Below are 23,656 nucleotides of genomic sequence, written 5' to 3' on the forward strand. Positions count from 1 at the left end.
TTTGCTTGCATTTGTTTTTGTCTATGGTATAAGAATATTTTTCTTCCTTGGAAATTCCTCTGAAAGCAGAATCTTAGTAATTTTAACTTCTTACCTTTAGCGTCAAAAGCAGTACCTGAGACATAGACGACTTTTCATGGATATTGAGAGAGAACAAGTTAAAGAACAACAAAGGCAAAAAGAACAAAAGAAGAAAATTGAAAAGTAAGTTATTCGATCTGCTCTGTGAGCCTTAAATTGCCAATTAAGATGTTTTTGGAAGATGAACTTTAGAAAAAGGTAATGGTTTTGCCCTCTGATCCATATTGAAAACAGCTATTTTTGATCTGGGTGAAGTATTGGAAGATGGTGAACAGCTATGGTTTGGTTTTTTGGTTCGATTTTCTATTAGACTTGATTTTTTTAGGGCAATTTTAGGCTCACAGCAAAATTGAGCAGAAAGTACAGAGAGTATACCCTCTGCCCCACAAATGCGTAGCCTCTCCTACTGTCACTATCCTGCACCATAGTGGTACAATGTATTAGAATTGATGAACCTACATTGACACATTATTATTACCCAAAGTCCATAGTTTACATTAGGGTTCACCTTTGGTGTTAGGCATTCTATGGGTTTTGACAAATACATAATGTCATGTGTCTACCATTATGGTATTATACAAAGTGCTTTCACTTCCCTAAAATCCTCTGTGCTCTGCCTATTCCTCCCTCTTTACACCCTATCCTGTGGTAACCACTGAACTCTCTACTGTCTCCATGGTTTTGCCTTTTCCAGAACGTCATATAGTTGGAATCATACAGTATGTATGCAACCTTTTTAGATTGGCTTTTTATACTTAGAAATATGCATGTACGTTTCCTCTAATGCTTTTTTATGGCTTGATAGCTCATTTATTTTTAGCACTGAATAATATCCCATTATCTGAATGTATCACAGTTTAGTTATTCATTCACCTACTGAAGAACATATTATTTGCTGCCAATATTTAGCAATTATGAATAAAGCTACTTTAAAATCTATGTACAAGTTTTTGTGGGGGCATACATTTTTAGCTTATTTGAGTAAATAACAAGGCATATGATTGCTGGATCATGTGGTAAAAATATATTTAGCTTTATAAGACACTACCAAATGGTCTTCCAAAGTGGCTATACCATTTTGCATTCCCACCAGCAAGGAGTGAGGGTTCCTGTTGCTTGACATCCTTGCCAACATTTGGTGGTGTCAGTATTTTGGATTTTGGCCATTCTAGTAGGTGTGTAGTAGTATCTCATTGTTTTAATTTTCACTTCCCTAATGACATATAATATGGAGCACCTTTTCACATGCTTATTTGTCATCTGTGTATCTTCTTTGGTGATGTGTCTGTTCATTTTGCTTCTTCTTGTTGAATTTTAAGAGTTCTTTGTATATTTTGAATAACAGTTCTTTATCAGTCTTTTGTAAACATTTTTTCCCCAGTCTGTAGCATGTCTTCTCATCTGTTGACAGTATCTTTTGCAGAGCAAAATGAAGTCTGCCTAATCAGTTCTTTCTTTCATGGATTGTGCCTTTGGTGTTATATATAAAAAAAAGTCACTGCCATACCCAAAGTCACTTAGATTTTCTCCTGTGTTACCTTCTAGGAGTTTTGTAGTTTTGCATTTTACATTTTTCTCTATGATCCACTTTGTTAATTTTTGTGAGAGGTGTAAGATCTGTGTTTAGAGTCATTTTTTTTTTGCATGTGGATGTCCAGTTGTTCCAGCACCATTTGTTGAAAAGACCATCTTTTATTAATCATATTGCCTTTGCTCTTTTGTTAAAAATCAGTTGACTGCATTTATGTGGTTCTGTTTTTTGGACTTGGTTCTCTGTTCTGTTCCATTGATCTATTTGTCTATTCTTTTGCCATACCACACTGTTTTGATTATTGTAGCTTTACTTACATATTTTTATTGATACATAATAATTGTACATATTTATGGGATACATGTAATATTTTGATAACATGCAATGTATATGATCAAATGTATGATGTGTAATGATCAAATCAGAGTAATTTGGATACCTGTCATCTCAAACATTATGATTTCTTTGGATTGGGAACATTTCAAATCTTCTAGCTGTTTTGAAATATACAATAAATTATTGTTAACTAGAGTCACCCTACTGTGCTACCAATAAGTAGAATTTATTCTATCTGTCTAACTGTATGTTTATACCCATTAACCCATTCTTCATCCTCTCCTCCCTTCCCACCCTCTGGTTAACTATCATTCTACTTTCTACCTCTATGGGATCAGCTTTTTTAGCTCCCACATGTGAGTGAGAACATGCGATGTTTGTCTTTCTGTGCCTGGCTTATTTGATTTAACATAATGACTTCCAGTTCCATCTGTGTTGCAGCAAATGACAGGATTTCATTCTTTTTATGGCCGAATAGTATTCCACTGTGTGTATATACCACATTTTCTTTGTGTCCCTCTGTTGAAGACACTTAGGTTGATTCAATATCTTGACAATTGTGAATGGTGCCACAGTAAACATGGGGATACAGGTATACCTTTGATACACTGATTTCTTTTCCTTTGAATAAATACCCAATAGTGGAGTTGCTGGATCATCTGGAAGTTCTGTTTTTAGGTTTTTTTTTTAGAAATCTCCATACCGTTTTCCATAATTTCTGTATTAATTTACATTCCCACCAACAGTGTATAAGAGTTCCCTTTTCTCTACATCCTCACCAGCTTTTGTTACTTTTTGTTGTTTTGATAATTGCCATTTTAACTGTGGTGAGATGATATCTCATTGTGGGTAAGTTCAGTTGATCCCCAGGCACCCGGATGACAAGCATGAGTGCCTGAAGTGGCGGCAGTGGGTGAGGCAGGCCTGTCCTCAGGTCGTTTGGTTCTATACCTGGGTGCTGGCAACAGTGGGTGTGGCATGTAGCTTTATAATAAGTCTTGAAGTCGGGTAATTTCAGTCTTTCAACTTTGTTTTTCTTTTTTAATGTTGTGTTGGCTTTACCTCTCTACATAAACTTTAAATAAGTTTGTCAATATCCACGAAATAACTTGTTGAGATTTTTACTGAGATTGCAGTTAATGTATATATCAAGTTGGGGAGAACTGACATCTTGACAATATTGAGTCTTTCTATCCATGACCATAGATGATCTCTCCATTTTATTTAGTTGTCCTTTGATTTCTTTCTTCAGTGTTTTGTTGTTTTTGCTCATATAGATCTTATATATTTTTTGTTAGACTTATACCTAAATCTTTCATTTTGGAAATACATATAAATGGTATTGTGCATTTAATTTTAAACTCCACCCGTTCATTGCTGGTATATCGGAAAGTGATTGACTTTTGTATATTAAACTTGTATCCTTCAACCCTGCTGTAATCACTTAGTTCCAGTAGCTTGTTCAGTGACATTTTTGTTATTATATGATCATGTCACCAGTGAACAAAGTTAGTTTTATTTCTTCTTTCCCAGTCTGTATGCCTTTTATTTCCTTTCGTTGCCTTATTTCATTAGCAAGGACTTTCAGTATGATGTTAATGAGAGGGTACATCTTTGGCTTGTTTCTTATCCTAGCAGGTAAACTTACAGTTTCTTACCATCAAGTATGATGTTAGCTGTACATTTTTTGTAGATGCGCTTTTTCAGGTTGAAGAAGTTCTTCTCCATCAGTTGCATTTCTTTTTCTTTTTTTTTGATACAGAGTCTCGCTCCGTTGCTAGGCTGGAGTGCAGTGGCGTGATCTCGGCTCACTGCAACCTCCGCCTCCCTGGTTCAAGAGATTCTCCTGCCTCAGCCTCTTGAGTAGCTGGGACTACAGGCTATGGGTTTTTACTGTGCCCCTTAGAGCTCAACCCCAGTTGTCTTGACAAACTTCATTGTGCCTACTAACTTCTAAACAATGCATAAAAAGTTATAATGAGCTGGGCGCGGTGGCTCACGCCTGTAATCCTAGCACTTTGGGAGGCTGAGGCGGGCAGATCACCTGAGGTCAGGAGTTCGAGACCAGCCTGACCAACGTGGAGTAACCCCGTCTCTACTAAAAATACAAAACTAGCTGGGCATGGTGGCTCATGCTTGTAATCCTTGTAATCCCAGCTACTCGGGAGGCTGAGGCAGGGGAATCACTTGAACACGGGGGGCGGAGGTTGCAGTGAGCCGAGATCGTGCCATTGCACTCCAGCCTGGGCAATAAGAGCGAAACTCCGTCTCAAAAAAAAAAAAAAAGTTATAATGAAATCTAATATGAGGATTTACTTCATCAGATGTTATTGACATACTATGCATAATGCACTAAACAAAGTGCTAATATGTGTAATAGTTTGAAATTTGTGAAGTGCTATAAAATATAAAGCAATAACACTTTTATTTTGAAACACTCTGTATAATACTATAACAAAATTGTTATAGGTTACTGTAAAGTGCTAGAAATGTGTTCAAATAGCATAATGAATAGTCTTTGGGGTCTTTTTGGTTTTGTTTTTTATAATTTCAACTTCTATTTTAGATTCAGGGGGTACAGGTGCAAGTTTGTTACAAGGGTATATTGCGTGATGCTGAAGGTTGTGGTATAAATGATCCTGTCACTCAGATAGTAAGTATAGTACCCAATAGGTAATTTTCAGCCTTTTCTCCTCCCCTATCCCTCCCTCTAGTAGTCTTCAGTGTTTATTGTTTTCATTTTTGTGTCTACGTGTACCTAAAGTTTAGCTCCCACTTATAAGTGAGAGCATGCAGTATTTGGTTTTCTGTTTCTGTGTTAATTCGCTTAGGATAATGGCTTCCAGCTACATCCATGTTGCTGTAAAGGACATGATTTCATTCTTTTATATGGTTGCATAGTCTTCTATGGTGTATACATACCACATTTTCTTTATCCAGTTCGCCACTGATGGGCACCTAGGTTGATTCTGTGTCTTTGCTGTTTTGAATAGTGGTGCGATGAACATATGAATGCGTGTGCCTTTTTGGTAGAAGGATTCGTTGTACCAAATTATGGGATTGCTAGGTCAAATGGTAGTTCTAAGTTCTTTGAAAAATCTCCAAACCGCTTTCCACAGTGGCTGAACTAACAAACCGCTTTCCACAGTGGCTGAACTAATTTACATTTCCACCAACAATGAATAAGCATTCCCTTTTCTCTGCAGCCTTGCAATTATTTGTTATTTTTTGACTTTTTACTAATATCTGTTTTGACTCGTGTTAGATAGTATCTCATTGTGGTTTTGATTTGCATTTCTCTGATGATTAGTGATGTGGAACATATTTTCATGTTTATTGGCCACTTGTATGTCTTCTTTTGAGAAGTATTTATTCATGTCTTTTGCCCACTTTTTAATGGGGTTGTTTTTTGCTTTGCCTGGTGTTTTTTTTTTTTTTTAAGATGGAGTCTCACTCTGTCCAGTGGCACATTCTCAGCTCACTGCAATGTCTGCCTCCCAGATTCAAGTGATTCTCGTGCCTATCTCCTGAGTAGCTGGGACTACAGGCATGTACCACCATGCCCAGCTAATTTTTGTATTTTTAGTAGAGACAGGGTTTCACCATGTGGGCCAGGCTGGTCTCGAACTCCTGACCTCAGGTGATCCACTTGCCTTGGCCTCCTAATTTGGGGGAATTACAGGAGTGAGCTACCACGCCTGGCCAAATTGTTTAAATTCCTTATAGATACTGGATATCAGACCTTTGTCAGGTGCATAGTTTGTAAATATCTTCTACCATTCTGTAGGTTGTCTGTTTATGCACTTGATAGTTTCTCTTGCTGTGAGGAAGCTCTTTAGTTTGAGTCCCATTTATCAATTTTTGCTTTTGTTGCAATTGCTTTTGAGGATTTAGTCATAAATTTTTTGCCAAAGCTGATGTCCAGAGTGGTACTTCCTGGGTTTTCTTCTAGGATTTTCATAGTTTGAGGTCTTACATTTAAATCTTTAATCCATCTTGAGTTAATGTTTGTGTATAGTAAAGGTAGGGGTCCAGTTTCATTCTTCTGCATTTGCCTAACCAGTTATCCCAGCACCATTTATTGAATAAGGAGTCCTTTCCCTAATGGGTAGTCATTGGACCTAAAAGTTTCCTAGTTCCTTTTCAATGCTATTTCATCTTAATGAAAAAAAAATAAACCTTTTAATTAGTAATCCATTTCTTCTCTTGTATTACTAACAAGTTTTCCTTCATCTTAATGGGCAACTGTTTCTGTAATAGAAGTATTATTATTATTATTATTATTATTATTATTTTTTAAGATGGAGTTTCACTCTTGTCGCCCAGGCTGGAGTGCAATGGCACGATCTCGACTCACTGCAACCTCCACCTCCCGAGTTCAAGCGATTCTCCTGCCTCAGCTTCCCAAGTAGCTGGGACCACAGGCGTATGCCACCAAGCCCGGCTAATTTTTGTATTTTTAGTAGAGACAGGGTTTCACCATCTTGGCCAGGCTGATCTCGAACTCCTGACCTCGTGATCCACCCGCCTCAGCCTCCCAATGTGCTGGGATTACAGGGTTGAGCCACCATGCCCGGCCGAAGTATTCTTTATTTAGAAGAATTCATTTAAAAAAACAATGACTGCTGGTGTAGTAGCCATGTCAAAGGCAATATTTATTGGATTATTTTAAGTGCTTTCACATGTATTTTCATTTATTTGTAGTTTATTCGTGGGATAACTGATTTAAGCCTGCCTCTAATATTTGCAGGATTGGGCTCACATACAAATACAAGTTTATGTACCTTACATCTAAGTATTTTAATGTCATAAGCTGAGCTAAAAAACTGTAAAATGACATATATTCTATTGTCCTACCTTGACAAATATGATTTCATAGTGACTAGAAGGTCGGACTCAAATTTGCAATTCTTGAACTCCTCTGAGTTACATGCAGGAACATGAGTGGAGAGTCAGCCTCCAGTCCACCCCCTTTCTATTCTTATTCATACCTCTATTTTGTACTGGAAGAATTTCAGATACATGCTATGGTTCAACTCAGCCCAGATATCTAAGTTCTAGGTACATGCCCTGTAAGTGGTCACCCCTTAATGTTCCATTGAGCCTAGATGCGCATGAGAGGTGCAGCCTGCTCTGAGGAAGACAAAGGTGGGGAACAGAACTGTGTATACCCTAAAAACAGCCTTGGAAAGTTTGAGTAAAGAATTCCAGGGGCCTGGGTACCTGGAGCAGAGTATAGATGGGCAGTCATAGGCTTCAGGTGCCTTCGCCTAGTTGCTTAGTCTCTGAGGACTATGGGAAGAGATATGGTCAGAGACAGGCCAAAGTGGGACTATTAAAAATGTGGGTCTCATGATAAGGGCTCCCCTCTTATCCAGGTCTAAGAGTGATTCTGCATTTATTCAGAAAACATTTATTTTTTATCTTCCATATCATAGGCACTGTCCTAGGCTCAGATGATACAAAGATAAATAAAATTCATTCCTTTTCTTGAAGAACTCATAATCTAAGTTGGGGAGGGAGGATGAGAAACAAACATATTCAAATAAGTAATATAATTAGTGCAGTTGCCAAGATAGGTACAGAGTCCATGTGAGCACAGAAGAAGGGATTAACGATTTTATCTGGAGAGTTAGAGAAAATATTACACTTTAGTTGGGTTTGGGTGGATAAATATATGTTTTGCAGGGAAGGGGATAAGGATGGTGAGTTAGGAAAACATATATAAACAGAATCAAGGTGGGAGGAAATAATAGTAGTATTCATGCAGAATTTTTATAATTCACAAGGGCTTTCATATATTATCTAGTTTAGTACTTTTCAACAACAAAGCAAACATTTATTGAAAACTTACTACATGCCAGGGACTGTTCTATATGCTGAGAATATAAAACTAGAATATATGACAGGATAGTACATATTTACAAATGGACTTAAGTGTGAATGTATCCCTTATGAACTTTGTAAACTTAAGCAAGTAACTTCACCTCTGAGCCTCAGTATCCTTAATTATATAATGGAGATTATAATATTGATCTTCTAGTTTGTTGATAGCATTAAGTGGAGAAATGTATGTAAAGTACTTAACATTGTATCTGACATTTAATAAGATCTCAATAAAAAGTACCTGTTACTACCATGATAGGATGAGCACCAAGAGAGGACAGACAACAGGAGAAAAAGAGACAAAAAATAATTATAATGCTTAAAGTGAGGCAGGGATAGTCTAGGGAGGTCAAGAAATGCTTTATAGATGAGTTAATACTCAAGCTACATCTTAAAGGATGAATTGAAGTTTGCCAGATGGTCAAGGAGCTTAGTATGAAGCATAAGGTGTGTCTGAGAAATAAAATAAAAATTTGGGGTGGCTAAACCCCAAGTGAAGTGAAGTGGCAGAGAATCTATAACGAAGTTGTTGAAAGATTTTAAGGCAAAAGTCCTATAATCTTACTATAATCTTATAAAGACCAGTCTGGCAGCTGCATATAGAATAATCTAAAAAAGAAAACTAAGGCAGAGTCCAGTTAAGAAGTTATTATAGTAGTTGTGGAGGACGATGAGGGCACTGGGAACAGAGAGTGACATATTTAATAATATTTAAGAAGTAGAATCCATAGATTTTGATGACCAAATTCTTAGTCTTGATGGGTTTGGTCAAGGGTATTTTCTAACTTTCTTCTTAGATAATTGAATGAATGGTTAGTACCATTAACGTATATAGGGAATGTTCAAAGAACAGATTTTTCAGGAAGCTAGTGAGTTCAGTTTGTGACCATCAGCTTCAGGAGCATGTGAAATATTAAGGGAGGTCTGATTTATATGCATGTGAAAATAACTAAAGTTCTGGGAACAATAGGAACTAAGTATTTCTTAAGGGGTTTTCAAAATATGTTTCAGCATGACATTGGATAAGGTACAGGGCTACTGCTGGGTGACAGAAACAAGCAGAGCTTTTGGTGGTCTGAAGGAGCTGCAGTAACAAAATTGGAGACTCAAGGGTCTCAAACATTTGATCAGTGTTCTCCTCAAGACATTTGCCAAAGTCTAAGAAAACATGAAGGCTAAATGGAAAATGAGTGGAAAAGAGACTAAGAATCTATTAGTCTGTGATGATGAGGAGATGTAGAGTTCAGGACCCACTGGGTTGGGGGAGGGGAGAAAGGGCCCAATATACATATCAGGCTTTCAGTTGAGTTAGGGAGAGCATACACTAAGAACATCGTCTAACTAGCAGTAGAATAAACCTTACCTAAATTACAAAGCAGCCTTGATTCTGCTGATGTCTGGACCAGATTAAGATGATGAACTGTGTACTTTCTGCCTAGCTGAGAAAAGTGTGAACTTTCTCTGGTTATGGATAACATAATTTAGAGCCTCTAAAAAATTAAAACAATATTCAGTATTCAATCAAAAGTTTCTAAGTACATACTTAGAAGTAGATGTCCAAAAGCCAAGAGAAAGAAAAGACAACAGAAGCAGACTCAGATGACACAAGATACTAGTATTAGTAGACTTTAAAATAATTGATTAATGTGCTCAGGTAACTAGAGGAAGAGATGGAGAAAATGGATGAAAATATTGAGAATTTCACCAAAGAAATGGAATCTATAAAATAGAATCCAATAGAAAAATATAATCTTAAAATAAGAACTCACTCTATGCACAATGAGGTACCACTTCAGACTCACTAGAGTAGCTTAAGGAGGGAAAGACAACAAACTTAACAGTACCAGATAGTGGCAAGGATGTAGAACAGCTGTAACTCATGTATTAGTATCATATGTAGAAAACAGCACAACCACTTTGGAAAACTGTTTAATATCTTATACAGTTAAACATAGACCTACTATATGACCCAACCAATTTATGCCTAGAAATTTAAGAAAAGTGGAAACATTTATAAAAACACTGAATCGTGACAGAATATATTCCTTTCAAGTGCCCGTGGAACATTTTCCACAGTTCATCTTACTTTTGGTTATTTTTCAGAATATGTTCTGTAACTTTAGTGATATTACACTAGAAATCAATAAGCAGTATATTTCTAAAGGATCATGGATCACAGAAAAAATTATAATGGCAATTAGGAAATACTTTTGAGAGAATAATAATGAAGATAAATCATATTAAAACTTTTTAGGTGTCACTGAAGCAGTCCTTAAAGGGAATGTCAGAGCCTTGATTACAATTAATATAAAATTAAAAAGGCTACAAATCAATGTTTTAACCTTCCATCTTAAGCTTGGGAAAAACTACAAATTACATCAGAAAAAAAGCCATAGGAATAAGTGCAAAATCGGTGAAATATAAAACAAATGTATAACAGAGGAAATCAAAGACAAAAGTTGGTTCTTTTAAAAATTTTGTTTTGCCAAGGATATATCACTTTTACTAATCAGTAAAAAGAAAAAACACAATTCACCAATATTAGGAATGGAAAGGGAACCATTACTACAGAGCCTACAGACATTAAATCACAGTAAGAGAACATTATAAACAACTTTACATTTTAAAAATTTGACAATTTTAATAAAATAAACTCCTATGGGGATAAAACAACTAAAATGGACACAAGAAGAAATTGAATACTTGAGTAATCCCGTATCACTGAAAGAAATAAAACCAGTTATTAAAAATCCTGAAAGAAAAATCCAGGTTCAGATTCCAGCTCATATATCTTCACTGGGGAATTCTTTTTAAATGTATAAGGGAAAAAATAACATAAAGTTTTACATAAATTCTTCCAGAGAATGGAAAGTGGAATATTTCTCAAATAAAGCATAACTTTAATACCAGCCTGATGGGGACATTACAAGAAAGCAGCATTACAGACTAATTTTTCTTGTGAGCATAAATGAAAAAAGCCTCAAGTGAAATATTGGCACAATGATCTTTGAGGGGCACTGCTGCAGGCCCCTATACTTGCAGCTTCTGCTTAAGCCCCTGCCTCTAGCCCCCGGGCAGCTTCTTAACCACCCCTGAACTTCTCCCAAGCTATGGACCAAATGGAAACAAAGCTTTTTGCAGCAACAGCAATCATACAATGAATAACATACTGAAATAAAATATTCCAAGATGTTAAAGAATTGTCTTTGGATGATAAATCATTTTTTCCTATCTTTCCTGTATTTCTTAATTTCTCAAATATTTTATTACTAGTTTGTTTGACATTGTAAGACTAAGCAGTATCTGCATGGTTGAGGGCCCCTTGCTGCTGAATATCCTGTTTATTGTGCGTAAGAAGGTACAAGGACTCCTGAAATATTTATGTGGCATCCCACTAGTGAAAATAGATTTCCTGTGAGGTGTTTAATATTCCCTTTGTGTATGTTTTTTTCCTCACATGCTTTTTTCTCCCTTGAAATATAATACTGTTGTTCTAAAAGCAACCTGACAAAAACTGTTGCAATAAAAAAGTATGTGGACTGGGGTTGGGATGCTTGGAAAAAAAAAATCTTTATCAAGTTGTCTAGTGTGACTTTTAAGCAGAATTCTCTTTAAATATTTCAAAGACCTTTTCTGTTTTTAATGTTCTTTAGAGCTCTAGTATAACAATTTCAGCATCTAAGCATGTTGACACTCAGCTCAGGAAGTTCACTGTCTCACCTAGGCCAGATTTGTCTTATGATAGCCTAATCTTTTAGCTGTAATTGTGATCTGATCTGCATGAAAAGGTCTTTTCAGTTCTGTATTGCTCATATGTAAGCATTTTACAGGCTAGCAGGTAAAAGTCAAAATGAGAATTTCATTCAGTTCATTTGACTGAAGGCAACATACCCCTGCTGTGGGTGTTTTATGTCTAACCTAAATCTTCTCATGACATGCCTACCACATGGCATAGTCAGTGGGAAACTTCTTTAGCAATACTACTGACCTTCTTTGAAAGCTTTTCTGCTAAAGGCTTTTTGTTTTATTGCCATTTCCTACTGGATAATCTTTTCCTTCTTGTGTTTATACTCTTGACCTCAGAAAAAATATGAAGGACTGATTGCTTTACAGATGGTATCAGAAGACTTAATCTTGTATTGATAGTTGGCAAATAATTAAAAATTAATTTTGCCTTTTACTTACTGAAGAAACTAAATCATTTATGCCTTCTTTGCATGGAAGTCACATGATTTAACTTGAAGACAAAACCACCTTAGCAGCATTCTAAAATAATCATACATCTGTTTTATAAACAGTAATTGATAACTACTTTACCTCACTCAGTTGTTATAAGAATAAAATGATATGGTTTCATTCATTGATTTAGCAGCTATTTATTGAGCATCTGTTAATTGGTAGAGATGATGCTAGACATAGGGTATGCAAGAAATGAAAAAACATGATCCCTGTCTTCAAGGATCTAGCTAGATAAGTTTGACTAACCAGTGGGGAAGCAGATAAATACGGTCATGCACCACATAAAGATGTTTTGGTTAGTGATGGACAGCACATACACTGTTGGTCCCATAAGATTATAGTGGAGCTGAAAAATTCCTATCACCTAGTGATGTAGCATTGTAATGCATTCCTCATGTGTTTGTGGTGATGCTTGTGTAAACCTACTGTGCTTCCAGTTGTGTAAAAGTATAGCACATACAGTTATGTACAATGCATAATGGCTGATGACGATAATGAACACCTATGTTACTGGTTTATATATTTACTATACTATTCTAAAAGAAAAGTTAACTGTAAAACAGCCTCAGCCAGGTCCTTCAGGAGGTATTCCAGAAGAAGGCATTATCATAGGAGAATACAACTCCATGAGTGTTATTGCCTCTGAAAACTGTCCAGTGGGATAGGATGTGGTGGCAGAAGACAATAATATTGATGATCCTGACCCTGTGTAGGCCTAGGCTAACATGTATTTATGTCTTAGTTTTTAACAAAATAGTTTAAAAAGTTTAAAAAAATTTAATGGAAAAAGCATATAGGACAAGGATACAAAGAAAGAAAATATTTTTTTACAGCTGTACAACATGCTTGTGTTTTAAGCTAAGAGTTATTATAAAAGAGTCAAGTAAAAAAATTCAGTTTATAAAGTTAAAAAGTTACAGTAAGCTGAGGTTAATTTATTATTGAAGAAAGAAAATTAATTTTTGTAACTTTAATCTAAGTGTACAGTGTTTATAAAGTCTACAGTAGTATATCATAATGACCTAGACCTTCACATTTACTTACTACTCGCTCAGTGACTCACCCAAAGCATCTTCCAGTCCTGCATGCTCCATTCATGGTAAGTGCCTTATTTAAGTATAATGTTTTTATCTTTTATACTGTATTTTTGCTGTACTTTTTCTATGTTTAGATACACAAACACTTACCATTGTGTTACAGTTGCCTACAGGATCCAGTCCAGTAATGTACTGTACAGGCTTGTAGCCAAGGAACAATGAGGCTATACCATATAGCCTGGTTGTGTATAGGCTATACCATCTAGGTTTGTGGAAGGACACTCTATGATGTTTTCATGACAAAGATGAATTTTTTTAAAGAATATATCTCCATAATTGGGTAAAGCATGACTGGAAATAGATCATTATAATACCGTATATTTAGTATTACAAGATAATACAGCACGTGGTTAAGAACATGGGGAGATATGTTTCCAAGTCCCAGCTCTGCTACCTACCGGCTGTGTGACTTTGAGAGTTACTTCTGTAATCCTCAGTTTCCTCTATATACAATAAGGATAATAATGATATATACCTCATAAAGTTCCTGCAAGGATTAAATGAGGTAACGTGTAAATGTGCTTAGTACAGAATCACAAATATAGTATGTACTCAGTAAAGATTAGCTGCTGCTTATCATGAGAAGGAAAAAAGTACAAGAATATGTGGTAGCACAGAGACTGTTTTAAAGCCAAAGTTGGGGATATGGGGTGGCAGAAGGAAAGGGAGAACTTCCTGAACTGAGTTTTGAAGGATTTGTGGGGATAGTATAAGACAAAGTGGGAATTGGAGAGGGGAAAGGCTGGACAGGAATTCCAGGCAAAAGGAATAGCACTGCAAAAGCAGTGCTTCATGAAAGAATGTGACACCTCTGAATTTGATGTGATTGGAGCTAAAGGAATAGCAATAGGTGAGCCTTAAGAAATAAGGAAAGACATGATTGTAAAGACCTTAGTATGTCATGAGAAAAAAATTTGACTTCATGTTGAAAACAGGGAGCTCAGTGGCATCATGGGGATAAGATGAAATGACTGTTAGGAGGTTGTTGAAATAATATATAGAGAGAAGAGAGGTGAAATTAATTTTTTAAAAGATCGTTATATATTAAGTCCTAACTGTGTGTCAAGCACTTCGCATAGATTATCTCCTCTTAATGGATAAAGTAGTCCTGCAAGGTAGCAGTAGTTAGCATTCACTGAGTGCTTAGAATGTGCTAGGCGTAGTGTTGAGTGCTTTAGAGACACTAAGTTATTTACTTGTTTCAATAACCTTTTAAGGTAGATTTGATTACTCATTTCATTTTACAGATGAGAAAATGAGCCCTAGAAAGGTTAGGTAATTTGCCTAGGATTAAGGGTACATTTAGCAAGTGGCAGAACTGGGATTCAACCCCAGATTTATTTGTCTTTATCACCTAACGTCTTTGAAGTTTATAACATGGCCTGCCACATAAGACAAGGCCAGGGAGGCAAAGAGGAGGAGGTAGTTTTAAGAGTGGTTAAGAGACTTGATAGGATTTTGTTAGAGAAGAATTCAAGGATAACTCCCAGATTTATGGCTTAGGTCACTGGGTACATGTTGTACTATAAAACAGATTTGCCAGGAAGGTGGTAGAGGTGACGAGAATAAGTTTAGTTTGGAGCATACTGGGCTTGAAGTCTAAAAGGAAATCCAAGTAGAGAGTACCAGTAGGAAATGATAAGTTATTCTTATTAGTGATTGCTCTCTTTTTTGATACATTATATTTGTACATATTAGTGGGGTACGTGTGAAATTTTGTTACATAGGATACGTAATCAAATCGGTATTTGTCATTTCTATGTGGGGGGGGGCACAGTTCAAGTCCTCTCTTCTAGCTATTTTGAAAGATACAATACATTGTTGCTAACTATAGTCACCCTACTCTGCTATGAAACATTAGAATTTATTCCATTTGAAGTCACAAGGAAGAATACTGGCAGAATCATGGAATTGGGAGACAAGAGAAAGGTTGAACAGAAAAAACAGGAACAGCAGGAAAAAAGTTAGACTTCTAAATTAGATCTTAATTCTGTTATATCAAAGAGGCAGATTTCTTCCACCTCCTTGAGAAGTTATTTTTCCAGCAGGGCACCTCTTTCACTCCTGAAGTAAATAAGCTTGTTTCTTAATCTTAGAAGCAGAAATCATTTTATCTGAAAGTCTTGGTGTTGGCAGATTTCTGTGATTGCTTTGGAAACAGTCCTTGCTTTTGGTTCTAGGTCTCTTAACTTTGTGAAGGATTAGTGCTTTGGCATTATATGAAAGATGACTAACAAGAGTTTTTAAGTTGTTGAAATTGTAAGAAAATATATTTTAAATCCAGTTTCCCTGTGATGTCACCTTATTTTCAGAATTCTCTTTGAAATGCAAATATTGACATTTTTTAGTTGTGCAAACACCCAATGCAGCACGTTTATAAACCTGTTTGCAGTCTTTTATATTCTTAACCTCTCTTTTACTGAAAGCCTGATGCTAGTTTCAGAATACCTTTTGGCATAGCCAGAGAATCACTGTAATTGTATTCACACCATTGCTCTAGGAGAAACGGATAAATTGACATATTGATTTCTGACCTAGTCTAGTTTCTATTGTGTATCAACTAAAACATGTATTTACAATAGAGGCTTTGAAGACATTGGAGAAGAGCAGAAACTTGTTTATAGAATAATTGTTTTTTAATCAATTTTTAAATTTAGCACTATCATTTTTTATTTTATGATCCCTTCTTAAACTACTATATGGCAGCTGTTCTTAACCTGTGAATCTGACCAAAGCTGTGGATTTTTTTTTTCCTAGGAGAATACCTGTGAGACATCAAGTGGAGATGTCAAATTGGCAGGTAGATAAATAGGCTCGAATATCAGGGATTGATCTATGTTGGTGCTATAGCTTTGTGAGTTATAGATGGTAGTGTATAGTAACTGAAGCAGAGGGCATACATAAAATCGCCTGGGGGGAAGGTATTGAGTAAGAAAAGGAGAAGGCCTAAAATGGAGCTTTGAGGAACACCTAGTGTAGAGCAGATGGGCCTGCAAAGAAGACAGAGAAGGATGGTCTAAAGAAGTATACGAGGAAATTCAGGGAAAGTATTGTGTCACAGAAGCTGAGGAACAGAAAAGTTTCAGGAAGGAGGGAGTGGTTAGCAATATTAAATGTGTCTGAGAGGGCAAGTAAAATTAGGACTGAAAAATGTTCCATCAGTGTTTCTCAACCTTTTCTTCATTATTGTTCCCCTATTGAACCTATTTAGACATTTTTTCTAACTGCCCCCCAATATAATTTTAATACACAGATATAACCGTTTATGTACTGTGATTTTTCGGAGAGCCACAAATTACTATAATATCTAAGGGTTTTTTGCCTCCTTGGGGACAGTATTGCACCTAATAAAAAAGCATGTACTGGATGGATTAAATGACCTGTAGGTCACTAGTTGTTTTGGTGGAGTGATGGATCTTAAGGCCATATTGGAGCAGATGAAGAAGTGAGGAAATAGAGACAGAAAATTTACTCACTCTTGAGATGTTTGTGAAGAGAGGAGTATCTGTGAGGAGAGGAATAGCTACCAAAAGAGGGACGGGGCTGACTCCGTCTTTTCTAGTAACCATTCTGTTACCAAGACCTATGACACTTGAAAAACAATGCTGACGTGTTCCCTTAGCCCTTAGCTGACTGGTCTAGAGAATAATTCGTATAGAGAATTACACCAGTAACTAAGCTTTTCTGTCATCATTGACTTCGCTCTGTTTAAATTCCATCATTGAAAACTTCAATTTGATTCATTATTCACAGGAAAATCTTTTATCATTTACTTTTTTTACAAGGTTGGGAGTTACCGAACTTAACAAATATGAATGTCTTCAAGACACTTACTTTACTGGCTCTCATTGGAATAAGATCTCAATATACGCAGATCCCTAGCCAAGAGCTCCTGTGATCTTAGGCTCGTCTTTTAACTTTTGTATTTTAATAGTTTTCTTTCATTCTCTAACTTATTTCACACATGATCTTTTAAGAGAGCAAGATGACATATATTTTAAAGTCAAGTGTGATGTGTGTATATGCCTGTTTTGGCCTTTTTCTATATTACCTTCCTCACATTCCTAGTGTACTCCTTTATATGCCTTTAAATCTTTATCTTCACTAGTATAAAAGCATCTCCCTCTGCCCAAGCTGCAATAATGTTTTTCACTTCTCCCCTATTACAACTTTATGTTGTTTTGAGTTTGAATCATACCATAAAAACGATGTTTATGTCCTGTACTCAATTTAGATTTACAGTTGTAGCTCAAGAAAGACTGGTAAATATGGGAGAATAGTTGTAAGAAAATCTTTGTTTAAAGTGGCTTTGTCACTTTGCTAGAGATGGCCAGTGAGTAGCTGTCAGAATCTGGACAGACTTGGTTTCACAAATACCATCTCTTGTGTGTTTTTCCAATGCCTGATCTTTCAGCCTTTGTAGGATGTCTTCCTGATTTTTAACTTATACCTGTGTTAATCTAACAAAATGGAAGGCTATAATTCCCCTGGAGTCAATAGCCTGCCACAAATGGATAGAAGCCCAGAATTTTCACCAGCACATGCTTTATTGAAGAAGTATGAGTATGAACTGGCCTCATACTACTGTTCAGAAAACAATAGCTCATTTGTTTCAAAGTAATTTTTAGCAATTGGCCTCATCAGGCCAATTCTATTCTAGAACTCAGTTATGAGTTCTAGTCTTGAGTCAGTCATATTTCTTAACAAAAGTTCTTTACATACTTTTTTGATGATTTTCTCACTGAACTGCTTCTTTCCTTTCTACATGTTAGTAGGGATTTTTAAATAGGTATACTTGATATACAATAAACTGTACATATTTAAAGGATTTGATAAGTTTTGATGAATTTCTGCTTTTCAGTTTGTTCTTTTATGGAGTGTGCTTTTGATGACTTATTTAACAAGTCTTTGCCTAACCCAAGGTCACAAAGATTTTCTTCTAGAAAGATTATAATTTTAAGTTTTACATTTACTCTGTGATCCAGTTTGAGTTAATTGTCACGTATGGTGTGAGGCTTATTTTTTTGTACGAGGATACCCATTTGTTGAAGAGGCTATATTTTCTTCATTGCATTGCCTTTCTGTGTTTGTCACAAATCAGTTGTCCAACAAACAACGAAAGAGAAGATTGATAAGTTGGACTTCATCAAAATTAAAAACTATCAGGAAAGTGAAAAGACAGCTACAGAATGGGAGAAAATATTTATAAATCATATATCTGATAAGGGACTTATGTCCAGAATATATAAATGACTCTTACAACTCAATAGTAAAAAGACACTTGATCCAATTTAAAAGTGGACAAGGATTTAAATTAACATTTCTCTCAGGAAAATATACAAGTGGCTAATAAGCACATGAAAAGATGCTCAAATCATAGTTACTGGGAAATGCAAATCAAAACCATGAAATACCAGCTCATACTCACTAGATTGGCTATAATTTAAAAAACGACAGATAAAAGCAAGTTTTGGTGAGTATGTGGAGAAATTAGAATCCCCAAATGTTCCTGGTGAGGAATGTAAAATGGTACAGCCACTTTGGAAACTCGCACCCCAAATGTCCAATAGCTGATGAATGGAAACATAACGTGTGGCATATCTGTACAAAGGAATGCGGGCAATAAAAATGAAAGAAGTATGGCTATAATGTGGATAGACTTTGAAACTCTTCTGCCAAATGAAAAGCCAATCCAAAGATACCACATATTGCATGATCTCATTTATATAAAATGTCTAAACTAGGATACAGAGATAGAAAAGTTAGTGGTTGCTAGGGCTAGAGGTGAGAGGGTGGGAGTGACTGCTAATAAGTATAAGGTTTCTTTATGGCATAATAAAAATGTTCTCAAATCACATTATGGTGGTGGGGAAATTTATGATATGAAAATTGTATCTCAACATTAAAAATGAGTCATTCATATATATGTGTGTTTATATATACATACGTACATTCATCTCTATATATGCATGTATTCCCAGCTTTCTCTTCTTCCGTGGATATATTTGTCTATCTTTATGTTAATACTATGAGGTTCTGATTAGTCCAGTTCTATAGTAAAGCTTGAAATCAGATAGTCTTAACCCTCCAATTTTTGTTTTCAGAGTTGTCTTGACTATTCTAGGCCCTTTGCATTTTTGTGTGAATTTAAAAATTAGTGTTTCAGTTTCTACAAATAGCATTTTTAGATTTTGATTGGGATTATGTTCAATCTAGAAATAATTTGGGAAAATTTAGAATTGAAATCTTAGCAATATTGAATCTGCTGACCCATTAACATTTATATAGACCTTCTTTAATTTTTCTCAGCAGTATGTTATAGTTTTCAGTGCATGGGTCTCATGTCTTTTGTCAAATCTATCCCCAAGTATTTTATATTTTCAGTGCTATTATAAATGGTGCTGTTTTTTAAATTCCTGTTTCTGATTCTTGCTAATGTATGGAAATGCACAGTTGATTTTTGGATATGGATCCTGTTCCCTGCAACCTTGCTACGGACTCACTGATTCCAGTGGGTTTTTTACTTGGTGATCATGTTGTCTTCAAATAAACACAGTTGTACTTCTTTCTTTAAATCTGGATGTCTTTTGTTTCTTTTGCTTGCCAGCTTGCACTGGCTAAGAATCTCCAGTACAATGTTGAATAGAAGTGATGAGAATGGATAATTCCTGATCTTAGAAAGCATTTAGTTCTTTGCCATTAAGTATGATGTTAGCTTTAAGTTTTTCATACATGCCCTTTATCAGACTGAGAAAGTGTTCTCTTCCTAGTTTCTTGAGAATTTTTTTTATCAAGAATGGATGGTGGATTCTGTCAAATTCATATATATATGAATATATATATGAATATATATATGAATACATATGAATATATATGAATATATATATGAATATATGAATATATATGAATATATATATGAATATATATGAATATATGTGAGTATATATATGAATATATATGAATATATGTGAGTATATATATGAGTATATATATGAATATATGTGAGTATATATATTCTTTCATATATATATATGAAAGAAATGAATGTTAAACCAACTCTGGGTTCCTGGGTACACCCATTTGGTAATAATGTATTATCCTTTTAATACATTGTGTAATGAGATTTGCTAAACTTTTGTGTAGAATTTTTATGTCTATGTTCTGAGAGATACTGGCTAACAATTTTCTTTATCTAAAAAGATATTTGTCTAATATATTTGTTAAGTTTTCATTTAAGGGTAATGCTGGCCTTATAGGATGAGTTGGGATGTGTTCTCTCCTCTTCAGTTTTATTGAATGAATTTATGTTAAATTGGCATTGTTTAGTGCTTAAATGTTTGGTAGAATTTGGCAGTGAATCCATCTGGTTCTAGATTTTCATTGTGGAAAGATTCTTAAAAACTATATTTTCAGTGTCACTAATATAGGGCCATTTAGGTTATCAATTTTTTTCTTGAGTTACCTTTAATAATTTATGTCTTTCAAAGAATTTGTCATTTCATCTAAGTTGTCAAATTAATTGACATATTTATTAATGTCATATTTATTGATGTTAAGAACTTTATTAATGGCATAAAGTTCTTAATATTCTATTATATTTTTGATATATGTAGAGTCTCTGATGGTATCACCTCTTAATTTTGGTATTGATAATTTATATCCTTTATTCATTATCAGCCTGACTTAAGATTAGTTAGTTTTATTCATCTCAAAGAACTAGCTTATAATTTCATTAATTTTTCTATTTTTGTGTTTCTTATTTTACTGATTTTTGTTTTAATATTTGGTATAGTTTGAGTATTCCTTTTCTCTCCTCTCCTCAAGCAAAAGATAGGCTTCTCTTTTGGAGCTGTGAGCTATGCTCCCTGTGGTTGGGGGAGGGGTGGCACCTGCACTCCCTTAGCTGCCCCAGCTGGTATCTCACTAGCTGGCTTTGAGCTCTGAACAGCAATAGGACTTGCCCAAGAATTATAGTTTTTGTGGCCTAGACAGCCTTTCAAGTTTATTTATGACCCCAGAGCACTTTCGCCTGTGGTGGTGAGGTTTGCTGAAACTGAAGTTCCAACCACCTGGATGGACGATTCCCCTCTGGCTAGGGCTGGTCTAAATGCACCTTCTTTGGCCACTGGCTGAGTTCTGCCTGGTGTTAGCAGCACTGTGTTCCATTACAGAGTCCCACAAATGCTATACTACCCCTCCCCTAAGTGCCTTGATTCTCCCTCCATGCCATGTGGCTTCTGTTGGGGAATGAGAAAGGGGTAGTGTAGGCAATTCAAGACTGTCTTTCCTACCCTCTTCAGTGCCTCTTTTGGCAATATGAAGTTAAAACCAGGTTCTGTGATTGCTCACCTGATTTTTGGTCCTTTTGAAGGTGCTTTTTGTAGATAGTTTTAAAATTTGATGTTCCTTTGGGGAGGATGATTGGTGGAGGCTTCTATTTGGCTATCTTGCCCTGCTTCGTCCAAATCTGAAATTCTGTTAACTGTTAAGCAACTCTTCTCACCTCCAGCCCCTGGTACCATTTTATGTTGTTTGTTTGTATTTATTTATTTATTCTTTAAATTTTATTTTATTTCAATAGCTGTTGGGGAACAGATGGTTTTTGGTTACATGGATAAATTCTTTAGTGATGATTTCCGAGATTTTGGTGCACCCGTCACCCAAGCAGTGTACACTGTACCCAATAGGTAGTCTTTTATTTCTCACCCCTTCCCACTCTTCCCCCAAAGCCCCAGAAGTCCATTCTATTATTCTTACACCTTTGCATCCTCATAGCTTAGCTCCCACTTATAAGTGAAAACATACAATATTTGGTTTTCCATTCCTGAGTTACTTCACTTAGAATAATAGCCTCCAACTCCATCCAAGTTGCTGCAAAGGCCATTATTTTATTTCATTTTATGGCTGAGTAGTATTCCATGGTGTATATATACACCACGTTTTCTTTATCCACTCATTGGTTGATGGACATTTATGTTGGTTCCATATTTTTGCAGTTGTGAATTGTGCTTCTGTAAATACGCATGTACCTGTGTCTTTTTCATATAATGACTTCTTTTCCTTTGAGTAGGTACCCAGTAGTGGGATTGCTGGATGGAATTGCATTTCTACTTTTAGTTCTTTAAGGAATCTTCATGCTGTTTTCCATAGTGGTTGCACTAGTTTACATTCCCACTAGCAGTGTAAGTGTTCCCTTTTCTCCACAACCATGCCAACATCTATTATTTTTTTTATTTTTAAATTATGGCCATTCTTGCAGGAGTAAGGTGATACCTCATTGTGGTTTTAATATGCATTTCCCTGATAAGTAATGATGTTGAGCATTTTTTCATATGTTTGTTGGCTGTTTGAATATCTTCTTTTGAGAATTTCAAATTCATGCCCTTTGCCCGCTTTTTGATGGGATTATTTGTTTTTTTTTTCATACTGATTTATTTGTAGATTCTGGATATTAGTCCTTTGTTGGATGCACAGTTTGCAATTATTTTCTCCCACTCTGTGGGTTGTCTGTTTGCTCTGCTGATTATTTCTTTTGCCGTGTAGAATCTTTTTAGTTTAATTAGGTACCATTTATTTTTTTTTTGTTTTTGTTGCATTTGCTTTTGGGTTCTTAGCCATGAATTCTTTGCCTAAGCCAATGTCTAGAACAGTTTTTTTGATGTTATCTTTTAAAATTTTTATAGTTTCACGTCTTAGGTTTAAGTCTTTGATCCATCTTGAGTTGATTTTTGTATAATGTGAGAGATGAGGATCCAGTTTTATTCTTCTATGTATGGCTTGCCAGTTATTCCAACGCAATTTACTGAACAGGGTGTCCTTACCCTACCTTATGATTTTGTATGCTTTGTTGAACTTCAGTTGGCTATATGTATTTGACTTTATTTCTAGGTTCTCTATTGTGTTCCATTGGTCTATGTGCCTGTACTATGTATGTACTACGGGCACTAAGTATGTACCCATACTGTGCTGCTTTGGTAACTATAGCTTTGTAGTATAGTTTGAAGTTGGATAATGTGATGCCTCCAGGTTTGTTCTCTTTTCTTAGTATTGCTTTGGCTATGTGGGCTCTTTTTTTGTTTTCATATGAATGTTAGCATTGTTTTTTCTATTTCTGTGAAGAATGATGGTGGTATTTTGATGGGAATTGCGTTGAATCTGTAGGTTGCTTTTGGCAGTATCGTCATTTTAACAATGTTGATTCTACCTATCCATGAGGATGGGATGTGTTTCCATTTGTTTGTGTCATCTATGATTTCTTTCAGCAGTGTTTTATAGTTTTTCTTGTAGAGATCTTTCACCCCCTTGGTTAAGTATATTCCTAAGGTTGGTGGTGGTGGTTTTGTTTTGTTTTGTTTTTTGTTTTTGCCACTGTTGTGAAAGGGACTGAGTTCTTGATTTGATGATTTGATTCTCAGCTTGGTCATTGTTGGTGTATAGCAGTACTCTTCATTTGTGTACATTGATTTTGTGTCCTGAAACTTTACTG

General features: G+C 35.6%; 1 protein-coding gene across 12 annotated transcripts in view; it reads left to right on the forward strand.

The window, feature by feature from the left end:
• Positions 1–23,656, forward strand: part of CCDC15 (coiled-coil domain containing 15) — an 87,288-nt gene that overhangs the window by 50,807 nt on the left and 12,825 nt on the right. For 11 of the 12 annotated variants that reach the window (XM_017018346.2, XM_017018348.2, XM_047427627.1 and 8 more), the window contains one exon: positions 101–11,031. In XM_017018346.2, the coding sequence (XP_016873835.1) occupies positions 101–208 (108 nt within the window). In that variant the 3' untranslated portion in view covers positions 209–11,031. Of the gene's footprint in view, positions 1–100; positions 11,032–23,656 lie in introns of those variants that run through there. The other variant, NM_025004.3, reaches the window with a different exon arrangement.

The sequence above is a fragment of the Homo sapiens genome, chromosome 11 (genome assembly GCF_000001405.40).
Source record: "Homo sapiens chromosome 11, GRCh38.p14 Primary Assembly".
NCBI lineage: Eukaryota > Metazoa > Chordata > Mammalia > Primates > Hominidae > Homo > Homo sapiens.